Consider the following 12,149-nt stretch of genomic DNA (forward strand, 5'->3'; position numbering starts at 1 on the left):
TTGAAGCACTGTGTTGTATGTAATTTATACACCAATAAAACTGAATTTTTTTTTTTTTTTAGTTACCTTAAAGCAAGTTCTACATAGAGAAAAGAAAAAGTAGGCAGGCCTGGTGGGGACTCCTGTGGCCAAGCTGGAGCACCAAGCCCATCTAAGGGGAGGGGTAGCCTCAATCCAGCAAGATGATACCCAGGGCTGCCAATCTCCTAGGTTTTAAACAGAAGGTGGAAATCCAGACTTCTGCATGAAATTCAATTTTTTACATACTGGCAACTAATTCACACTTTAAAAAATACTGTAAGCCAAACAGATCATATCTGTTGGCATATTTGATCTGCAGGACTTCCCAGTATTAACTGCCTTAAAGACACAGAGCAGCTCAAAGGCCAGATTGAAGACAATAAAGTAGCTAAAGCATGCACCTTTAAAAAGGGTGGTGGGAGCCCAGAAAGATATTGGCAGAGTCCATCCACGTGAGGGGTCCCTGGGCCCTAAAGATTCAATACCTTGCCCTGCCCAACAGTGAGTCAATCTGTGTCGCAGATCTGGATCCGTCTCACCAGGGCAAAACCAAGGACTCTGGCTCCAGTTTTCTGCTAACCATCTGACCTTGACTTAGCTTCCTAGGCAGGCCTGCCTTCAGGGAGGGAACACGCTGATCCTACACACCCAGGAAGGTTTCACCACAAAGAGGGCCACACCCTGAGCAAAAATCCAGAGCTGGCATCTGACTGCTGCACTGATCTCTGGGAGTGCGCCTGGGACACAGCTATCCCTGAGAGACAGCTGCATTCATAGGACTGACATGTTGGGTTTTGGTGCCTCTCCAGTCAGACCTATGGGAAATCCCAGGAAGATGCCGCCTTTAGCAAAGCTCTGATCCGACATCCATGGAGACTCTACCACCTAGAACACAGTAAGTACTTGATACACGTTAACCCTTCCCAAAGTCCCCCTTCCAAAAAAAGATGAGCAATTAAGCTTCTGTGGCACATGCTAACAGGACCACTCTCCTCTAGGATCACCTTAAAATGTGCCAGGCTCTGTACCTTTACGTGCTGTTCTCTCTGCTAGGCAAAGCGTCCTCACCCAACTCGCAGGACTCCTTGTCTGACAAGCCCTCCCCATTCCACGCCCAGGCAGAGCTGATCACACCTTGCTTTTGTCACAGCACGGAACCCTGGGCTCACCTCTATCACGGCATCAATCACGACATATATTTTTTTTAACATCTATCCCCTCCCACACTGAGAGCACCATAGAAGCAGGACAACGTTCAGCCCTGCATTCCCAGCACGCATTCCCAAGGCCACACTCAGTAGTTGGTTAAGGAATGAATCTATACTTCCTCTAATTCAAGCTTTAATTCATACACCCAACCACATCCTAGACTCTACTCACTGAAGCTCACAGGCCCTCAAACCCAACATGTGCCAACTGAAGGTATCATCTTCCCTCTCCCTCCACCCAAAAACATTTCCTCTTTTTCCTTTTCCCCCAACAAAATTCAATAAATTGCACCACCCCACAGCTGCTCATGTTCAAAACCTGGGCAAGGGCCAGGCACAGTGGCTCATGTCTGTAATCCCAGCACTTTGAGAGGCCGGCAAATCACCTGAGGTCAGGTGTTCAAGACCAGCCTGGCCAACATGGTGAAACGCTGTCTCCACTAAAAATACAAAAATTAGCCAGGCTTTTTTGGTGGCGGGCAACTGTAATCCCAGCTGCTCAGGAGGCTGAGGTAAGAGAATCACCTGAACCTGGGAAGCTGAGGTTGCAGTAAGCCAAGATCACGCCACTGCACTCTAGCCTGGAGGACAGAGTTAAGACTCCATCTAAAAAAAAAAAAAAAAAAAAAAAAAATGCCTGGGCAAGGGTGTGTCACTGTAGCTTTTCCCCTTATCCCCCAGATCCAGTCAGTCACCAAGCCCTTCAAGCCCATCACATCCACTCTACCTTCTAGCCTGTTCTCCTCCATTCCCAGCTCTGTCACCTCCACTTTGGTCACCATCAGCTCTTTCCTGGATTTCTGCATCAGCCTGAGAACCAGTCTTCTACCCAGCCCCAGTGTCAATCCATTCCCCAAGGGCAGGCAGAAAGACCTTTCTAAATTTAAATCTGATCTTGTCATTCCCTGAAGCCCCACCTTTAACTCTTCAGTGGCTTCTTGTATGCCTTTAGGATAAAACTCAAATTCTTCAATAAGGTCCATGTCACCTCCCCAGCTTCCCTCTCCTCACCTCTTCCCCACTCCTTTCCAGAACACAGCACTCAGGCCAGGCTATGCACCCTCCTGTACCTGCATCCTGCCATGTTCCTTCTTGCCTCTGGACTTCCACTCGCACTGTTCCTTTACTTTCCTTTCTCTGTCCAAGTAATTCTTCCTCTTCCTAGTACTTCTCCCGGGAAGCTTTTCCTAATCCCTCTAAACTGAATTAGATATATGTTAACCCAGCATTGATCCTACTTAGCCCTTATCATCCTGCTCCTCCCTCCACCCCTCCCACCCTGCTGGATGATAAGCTTCAACTCAAACAATGAGATTCCTGGGGAGAGGAACCCAGGCTGTATCACTCCTTCTTACATTCTCATCACCACTGTGCTGAGTAGAAGATGCTCAGGTGATATTTTTTGAATAAAAGGCATAAAGATCCAATAGAACCAATTAACTGACTGCTCAGCATCTGTCAGGACCCTCAGAGGGCCTTTTCTATTCATTCTGTCCCAGGACCTCTTTTCAAACCTATCCCAAACCCTCTCCTTCCCCTTCACAGGCGCCAGGAATTCTGCCAGTCTTTTCTTCTTTGGTGGCTGCTCACATACTCTATTCCCTGGGTCCCCTACTCCCAGTTTAACTGCTCCAGACCTGTAGCTCCCCCAGGAAGACAAGCCCATAAGCCTTCTAAGGGCTTCACTGCTGATGGGTTGGGAGAGATACAAGGGAACACGGAAATGATTCTGTGGAATTCTCACAGTCTAGTGGCTCCATGGGTGATGCCTGGAAAGGCCAGTACTCTGGGGGGAGGCTCAGTAGGAGGGCACTTCCCAGGGAAGTTTCTCTTCCTAGCCATGAAGTCAAGAAAAACACAAGGTGTCAAATGGGTAAACTGAGATGATATATATTCATTCCACTGAGGTCCATGGGGAACCCAGTTTCCTCACTCACCTTGAAATTATTAATCATAAAACTTTCATTTTCCAGATCAAAGCTAAGAAAAGATTGCAGAGCACCAAATAAATGCTCGCACCTCCAAATGCTGAAGCTAGGGCACTTACATGGAGGCATGGGCTCTCCCTCTGGGTCTATTTACTTTTCTTTTACAGATAATCCTATCCCAAAGATTAGGATTTGCTCATCTGATTTTCCAAGCAGCAGACTCCAATCTCCACAGGTGGTACCAAGGCAGAAGTAAAAGCAGACAAGAGTTGAGGAACCCGGCAGTTAGGCCAAGCACCTAAACAACACAGTAGTGCTAGTCAGTGCAGAGGGCAGGCACCAAATGACCAAGAAAAAGGAGCCAGTCAGTATCCTCCGAAACAGATCATTTGCTTTAGAACAATTTCTATCAAATTCCAAACAAGCTCGGCTCTTCAACAGATAGGTCACAGGTTAGCCAGCAGTTGGACTTATATTTAGTTAACCTTCCATTTAGTGACTGCCAAATAAGGCAAGAGTATCATAATGTAAGGTTTATGGTAAGGAATAAACTCAACTTTCTCCTGACAAGTTTTTACCAAAAATTTCGTTGCAAAATATGATGGGCACTAAAGACTGCCTAAAGGACATATCAACTACCCAATAAACTAGAAGGCACCCATTTTATCGTGGATCATCAAAGAGCTCTGTATTTGGTCTACACTGTTTTATTTTTGACACCTTGCCCTGTACTCATTTGGGCCTTGGGCTGCATTAAAAGATATAATGGAATATAAGTCACACGAAATTCACTGTTATTTCTTGTGGGGGCAGTCACTCACTGTTCACTTTGGGAAGAACCACAAGAGAAATTTCCTCTGATAGTGCCAAGTAAAACTGGGCTTCTCCTGAGTTACTAGCTTGTTTTACCTCATTTGCAATGTAAATCTTGTCTCTACCCTTTTTCCTTTGGCTCCCAGGAAGCTCATGGGCAAAATCAAATGCTAACTTTAGTATCTGAGTGGAACTTTTTAGCATGAATGTCTATCAGTAGACAATCTCTGACCTCATATGACTATGCTATTCCTTTTCTCTTCCTCCTGATTTTATCCCTAGTTTTCTATCTAACTGTGTTGGACTTGTTCCCATTAGTCACTCAAGTCCTATGGGAAACATGGGGAGAAGGGAGGGATAAAAGAGAATAAAAGGAAACAATTCTTTCCCCACGCTGCCAGATAATGTGATGTCAGGGTATGACAGGGACAAGAGCCAGACCTGTCTTTCTCATCCAGGACCAGAGCCATCGCCAAGTCCCCCTCGTGCATCTTCTTCATCTCTGAAAGCTTGCTTTCCAAACGCAACCGAAGAGCCTTCTCCGTCTCTGTCCCTGCAAAGGCCTTTTCCAGTTCTGCCTGGGCGGCTGTCACATCCTAGAGTCAAATTAAATGCATTTGATGCAATTTTTCAATACAATTGGGAACATTTTGAAAGGAAATTGGATTAAAATATAAATATTTATGACTTCTTCTCCAGCACATTTCCCCTCCCTGAATTGTACTATACATGGAGAGAATCAGTAATAAATACATTTGCCAGCCATTTTTCCCTCTTGTATCCTGAAGCATAACAGGCATTTCCAATGGAAAAGACTCAACTCTGTAAGAACTGTATTTTTGGTTTTGAAAAATCAGATCAATATTTACAGCTTCAAGAAGAACAAGAAGAAATGCTCCTCTCAATAATAAACATACATAAATTCCAAAGAGTCACCATAATTTCCATACAAATTCATCCTACACACCCCCACCGCCCTATTTTTTTAAGATAATGACTGAACAATTCTAAAGTACATTTTCTGTATCTCCAAGGTGATTCAGTTGGGAAAAAAAAAAAAAAAACAACTGTATGTTCTTCCCAAGAGGTCAGAGAAGCCAACGAGGAAATTATCTAAATCATGCAGGCAGTGTCTGTGTTAGGGAAAAAGGCCCTTGTGGTCATGAAAGTGACCTGGGAGTAGATATGAATCTCCAACTACTCACACCAACTGCCTCCAATTACATCACAAAGATAAACATCAAACAGAATTGGGTTCAAAACCCAGCTCTCCCACATACTTGCTGTGTGACCTCAGGCAGTTGCTAAACCTCTCTGAGCCTGAACTTCCCAATCTATAAAATAGGGATAACCACCGTCCCATCAAAGAGCTACCATGAGTCTCTATCAAATGCTTGTTCCATCACAGGAAGCTCAGAAAAAAATGTTGGCTCCCTCCTCCCTGCCCTTGCCCTCCACAGTGCCGCCCCCACCACTATCTCCCCAAGGGGCTTCCTGTCACTCTCAATGAAAGCCGAAAAAAATCATTTATCATACTCTTAGACAACAACAAAGCCTGTTATTTACTAAATGCCAGGCTCTGAGCAAGGAGCTTCATTCGTATTATCTCCCATCTGCATCCAACCCTAAAAAGTTATATCCTAAGACAGTAGAGTATAGCAGTTTAGAATGCAGGTCTGAAGCCAGACTACCTGATATTTACTGTCTGTGTGACCCTGAGCAAGTGACTTAGCCACACTGTGCCTGTTTCATCATCTGTTTAAAAAAAAAAAAAAAGAAAGAATGAAAAAGGATGACAGAAGTATTCACCTCACAGAGGTTTACTGAAAAGATTACCTTCCTGTCTATAAAGAGCTTAGAAGGATGTCTCACACAATGAAATGGTAAGCCCACAATAAATTGTTAATACCACAGTTATTATTACAATTACCACTGCAAACCAGGTATCACTGTCATTTTACAGATGACAAAGCAGAAGCTCAGGGTAGGCAAATACCTTATCCTAGGTGATAAAGCTAGTAAGTGACAGAGCAGAGACCTGTCACTCCAACACATGGGAAAGCACTTACAGGGAAAAACAAATGAACCAGTAAGTTAGATCTCATAATTACATTTTCGCTAAAATTCAGAATTTGTGATCAGGAGAACCTTCATGTGGTTCTAGTTCTACCACTTCTGACCTATACTATGTTTCTAACCCCTCCAAGCCTGTTTAAAACACAGGTATTTTGGGCCTAATAGCTACATAACCCCAAGACGACAATTTAAGGGCTGATATGAACATCATAAATGGAAAATTGTAAACTGCAAAATACAGTGCCTGCTCTTTGTATCCAGAAGTGCTTTTGGTGCCATTTCTCTCCATATCTAAAAAGAACCAGAGTTTCAGGTAGAGAAACTGTGATAAAACAAAAGATTTCAAAGACCAAGAATTAAATAGTATTACTTAATACTAGCTTAAAATAGATAAGGAGACAGGATTTTTTAGCCAGGAAACATCCTGACTCCCATCACAGTGACAGGAAATACCTAACTGAGAGTAAATAGAAGAAGTGACATGCAGTGCCTAATAGAGAAAAGACATTCCATGAGCACCAGCAGGATGGTTGGAGGGAAGCCAGATACCAGGGACCAGAGCTGGAAGGACACGTGGTAGCCTAAAGGTCAGAGTCTGGTTCCAGGCTTGACTAATGTTAGGTAAGTCATTTCCCTTCTCTGGCCGTCAGCTTCCACATCTTTAAAATAATGGGGCTAAACTAGACAAGCAGAGTGGTGCTGTAGGAAGAGCATGGGCTTTAAAATCCGCATAGTTAAACCCAGGATTAAACCTACTAGTATTAGGTTAAGCCTATTAAACGAGTTAGTACTTCTCTCTGTATCTCAGGGATCTTACACAGAAATGAGGACCACAATGGCCAGTTTGTGGGTAAAGGGGTTATAAATTATACATATAAAATGCCTGAAATGGGGCTACAATCCAGGAGATGCTCAATAAGGGTAGCTGTTGTTTCTGCTGAAACTGACGGTTTATAAAAAAAGAAACAAAACTGTGCCAGCCTATTATTAACCCACTATAAGAAATACACTGCCCTCAGGATTTCCAGACTTGCCTTTTCCAAAAGGAGTATTCTTTTAGTTAGGAGATCTTCCACCTGCTGCACCTTCTTTCGAGCATCTTCTTTCACCCGCTGGATTTCAGAGCCACCTGCTTCAGCTAAGCTCTCAACTGCTTTGCTGCAAAAAGAGGCACAGGGGTAAAACATGCAAGGGTGATGGTCTGATGGTTATTTCACAGCCCCAAAGAGACAAGGAGTATTTGCTAGTCATTTCTCCCACAGACCTGTGCTGAGCTTCTTTTTCTTTAGCTTAATATTTATCATTTAAAAACACAGATAAGAAAAAAATTAGAATCATCCATAATCTTGTCACTCAGGATAACTAAGTCAACATTTTAGCATATAGCCTTTCAGACATTTTCTACAAAAAAGAATCATTTAGTACACATCAGTGAAGTGATCTTATTACTTAATATACTACGAACATTCTTTTGTGTCAATAAATAAAAGTCTATATCATCATTTTTAAAGGCTGCATATTAATTCAATGTATGAAATGTACTATAGTTTACTAAATCAATTCTCTATTTTTACAACATTTAAATTGTTTCTCATTTAACACATTGTATCTGACGATACTCAAAGTTCTGACAACAGTGCCTGGTACAAAGTAAGTATTCAATAAATGTTGGCGATACTGTTTACTGTAATAAGTAATGTTACGATAAAAGCATCCTTGTATGTCTACTATCCAGTGACTTCCTGAGAATTGATTTGTAGAAAGGGAATAGCTGGGTCACATGGTAAGCCCACTGCTAAGATTCTGGATAGCTATTGCCAAATTTCTCAGCAAGGGGCTTCCAACAAAGTACACTTCCACCAGTGGTGCAAGGAGGGCAGAGAGCTGGTCTGACAAACCAACGTGCAAAGGAGCAGTATGCAACGAAGTCTATATACTTCATCTTCTGCCAGCTGAAGAGAAAAGCATTTTAAATGCATCAGGATCAATCTGTTTGCGCACTAGCTACCACTTAGGGCATAAAAAGGGGAGGTTACACAAGCAGCCCATACTCCGTGTTACTCTAACATAAAACACAGAGTACACACTGCTAGAGCACCATGGAATATTCTCTCCACATGACCGGCAGTGGTGGGAACGGCACGCCCAAATCAGACGCAGGACTACAACCACCGATGCCAGAAGATAAACAGTGTCGGACATGACTCTGTAAGACTGTATGAGCAGTCCTCGTCAGATTTCTAAAATGACTGCAGGTTTCCAGAAGGCAAAATAATAAAGGAAATGCTTCCACCTAAGGCTGGTTTCTCAGAAAAACTGCAACAGAACAAATCTATTCACCACCAGCTTCCCATGCCCTACTTTAAAGATACATAAAATTTTTCCAACTGAGAGCCATGTGATCTCTCATATGTACAAGCCATGTGAATTTTTTACTGAGAACAATGGAAAGTCAAGAGGGCCATACTTGTTGTCCAAATCTCAAACATGAGTCGCCTGAAAATAAAGACTTTATTAATATCTTTTTTCTTTTCACCAATAAAGCTTCAGAAGGCCCCAGTGTCATATCATTTTAATGGAATTCAATGTGAACAACTGGAAAGAAAGAACATGGGCTCTGAAGCTGGACAGATCTGCTTCTAAATTTTTACTCTATTATGTCCTCAGTGGGACTCTGGGTGAATTACCTAGCCTCAGTAAATTACCTCTCACACCTCAGTTTCCTCATGTGAAAAATGAGATGATTACCTCTCAGAATTAATGTGCTCACACACGTCGGCCTGTTCCTCTCTGATCAGAGTGCTCTGCACACTAGCCCTTGGCCTCTGAGGCCCACACAGCACTGGCTCCTGCTGAGCAGCATGCTGTGAGAGGCCTCATGCTACCCTCTGCTGGGGTCTCCGCTGGCCAAAGCCAAGGCGCCTATTTCCATTTCCTGATTAATACCATTGAATGCCATCACCCCCCACTCCCGGGGCTCATTTTTGGATCACTGTCTTGAATTCACAGTGATTCACAATCATTTCTATCACTCCTTGAGGAGCATTATACACGGCCGAAAGAATTCTGGACGAGAAGCCCTTCCTTCCCGAGCCTTGGCTACAGGATTTCTCCAGGAATGAATTTCTGCTACCCACTCACCAAGGTTTGAGGCCTGGGGCTTCACAGAGCCTCCTCTATAAAATGGCTCATCTCTGCTACCCTTTCCCTTACCCCTCCACCCTGCCCACCAGAGTGCAAATAGGCCGTCTCCCTCCTATCAGCCCAGATCTAACCTTTCTGTTTTGCTGTCTAAATCACATACATTGTCAAGAGGCTGATTACAATTTTTAACAAGTACTATTATTATTCAGTTTGTTTGAGTTTTAGTTATACCAGTAAAATATACTCCCAATAATAAATGTTCCAACTTTTCATTTATCATCTTTGTGCTTTACAGTTTCTGTGGCAATAAAATTTATACTCAGTAGTATGGTACAATTTTCCTCTACTAATGGAATTATTATTTTTGTTTGTGTTTTAAAGCTACAGAGATAAAATTTACTTGCAACAATATGACTGCTTTCGTTTTTTATGTCCCCTTATTGTAACTGATAAATATAACAATGGAAAACCAGCCAACAAATATGTTTATCTCACAGCAAGGCACAGCACACTCTGGAGGCAGAGCGGCCGCTACACGTTTCCCCACTCCTCGAACCTTGGTTTTCTCTCCACTCAAATGGGAATACTGACTGCCCACATAACTGATCAAATGCAATAAAGCCTGTCAAGCGCCAGATGCAGGATGTGGAACAAAGAAGGATCTCAGTAAGTGTTAGCTCCCTCCCTCGACCCTTTCTTTCCTTGCAGAATCTGGGCTAACACACAAGGTGGGCAGCAAGACCTGAGGAGAGAAAAGGCTGAGAGAAACTGGTTTCATCTAGCTTTCCACCCAATACAAGAAAGCCAGATTCTATAAATGCCAGCCTCACTACCCTTTTTAATTCTCCACATTTCCCCTGGATTCTTTTCATTCTAATTATGGTTCTTCAGGAAAAAGCAGGGGATTTTCCTGTGGCAGATGTCATATCCTGTCCCCACGCCCCAACAAAAATCCTAAAACTGAAAAGGGGAGTTGAGGGTATCATATTAACATAGATATTTTCCATCAACAAGTATCCACCACAGACATACTGCTGGGTGCTAGGAAGCTAGGGTTAAAGAGAAAAGCACGGCCAGGCATGGTGGCTCATGCTTGTAATCCCAGCACTTTGGGAGGCCAATGCAGGGGGGATCACCTGAGGTCAGGAGTTTGAGACCAGCCTGGCCAACATGGTGAAACCCTGTCTCTACTAAAAATACAAAAATTAGCCAAGGCTTGTGGCGCATGCCTGTAATCCCAGCTACTCGGGAGGCTGAGGCAGAAGAATCACTTGAACCCGGGTTGTACTGAGCCAAGATTGTGCCATTGCACTCCAGCCTGAGCAACAGAGCGAGACTCCATCTCAAAAAAAAAAAAAAAAGAGATGGGTACACCTAGCAGTTCCATGGTAGATACTGTCATTGAACAGATACACAGATACTGTGTATATACAAATATACAATTATCTACATACAAAAATTTAAAAAGAACATGGAACCTAGTGCTGAACTAGAAGTCAGGGACTAAAGTTCTAATACCAGATGTGACCTTCCTGGCTGGGAGTCATGGCCCTTCCCTTTTCCTGGCCTATAGTCTCTCCTCTGTGAAATGAGGGTATTCCTCAAGACTTTCCCAGCTCCCAGAACAATGATGGAATGTAAATGGAAAGTGTTTTATAAACTAAAAAGTGTTAAACATAGAGTATTATCATTCTGTACCAGCGAAGTCCGTTAAGAGACTGATGCGGGCTAGAGGAAGCCATGCGCGGTTCCAGATCTGAAGCTTTACAAAGGGCTGAGCAATGGAAGGCATTTGGGCTGGGAGGAGGTGAGAGGGGAGGAGGTCTGCTGGAGCAGAGTTAGAGCAGCAAAAGCAAGAACATTTTAGCATCCATGAACTGTGTTTGGAATAGAGTTGGTGGAGAGGAAGCTGGAGCAGTTGGGTCACTGCGAACATTCTTAAACAGAGCTCATGACCTTAACCCCAAACAGGAATCATCCATGACATCCCCCTTCCCATCCATCACCAAAGCCTGTTGATTCTGCTTCCCAAATGTCTGATTCACCCAGCTACTCTGTCACTCACCTCTCACCTCAACCACTGGACTAGCTTCCTGACTGGTCGCCCAGCTTTCACTCATGCTGTCTCCACAATCCACTTTCCACCCAGCATCCAGAATGACCTTTTCAAATACAGAACTCTGATTGTGTCACTTGCTTAAAACCCACAACTGCTTTCCATGTGATTTTAAGATAAAGATCAAAATCTCTAGTGTCTAGACTTCTCATATTCCCTCAGACCTATACATTCTCTTCTCCTTGAACAGTTTCTCTACCCATTCAACTGGTTAATTCCTACTTATCTTTCAGATCTCATCTCAAATGCCATCTCCTCAGGGACACTTTCCCAGCTACATAGCCATATCTATATATTCACTCCCCTACCTGGCTGGGTGCAGCGGCTCACCCCTGTAATCCCAGTACTTTGGGAGGCTGAGGTGGGCGGATCACATGAGGCCAGGGGTTCGAGACCAGCCTGGCCAACATGGTGAAACCCCATCTCTACAAAAATACAAAAGTTAGCTGAGCATGGCGGCACATGCCTGTAATCCCAGCTACTCAGGAGGCTGAGGCAGGAGAATCGCCTGGACCCAGGAGGCGGAGGTTGCAGTGAGCCGAGATCATGCCACTGCACTCCAGCCTGGCAGAGCAAAACTCTGTCTCAAAAAATAATAATAATATATATTTACTCCCCTACCTATAAATTCTCATAGCTCACTTTATTTTTCCTCATAGCTCTTTCCCCAACTTGTGTTTATATATTACTCCAAGTATTTTATCACCATCACTCCCACTAGAATGTGAGCCTCATACATCTGTTTGCATCACCACTATATCCCCAGGAACCTAGTCCACTGCAGCACACAAGAGCCACTTAATAAATATTTTCTGAATAAACGAATAAAGCTGGTCAGACCAC

General features: G+C 43.5%; 1 protein-coding gene across 18 annotated transcripts in view; it reads right to left on the reverse strand.

The window, feature by feature from the left end:
* CDK5RAP2 (CDK5 regulatory subunit associated protein 2) overlaps positions 1-12,149 on the reverse strand; it is a 191,293-nt gene that overhangs the window by 143,086 nt on the left and 36,058 nt on the right. For 17 of the 18 annotated variants that reach the window (NR_073558.2, NR_073556.2, NR_073554.2 and 14 more), the window contains exons 6-7: positions 7,081-7,204; positions 4,412-4,566 (exon numbers count right to left, since the gene is read on the reverse strand). Coding sequence is in view for 12 of the 18 variants with exons in the window: in NM_001272039.2 (NP_001258968.1) it covers positions 4,412-4,566; positions 7,081-7,204 (279 nt within the window). In the remaining 6 variants the exon portion in view is untranslated. Of the gene's footprint in view, positions 1-4,411; positions 4,567-7,080; positions 7,205-12,149 lie in introns of those variants that run through there. The other variant, XM_047423590.1, reaches the window with a different exon arrangement.

Source organism: Homo sapiens, chromosome 9 (genome assembly GCF_000001405.40).
Source record: "Homo sapiens chromosome 9, GRCh38.p14 Primary Assembly".
Classification (NCBI taxonomy): Eukaryota; Metazoa; Chordata; class Mammalia; order Primates; family Hominidae; genus Homo; species Homo sapiens.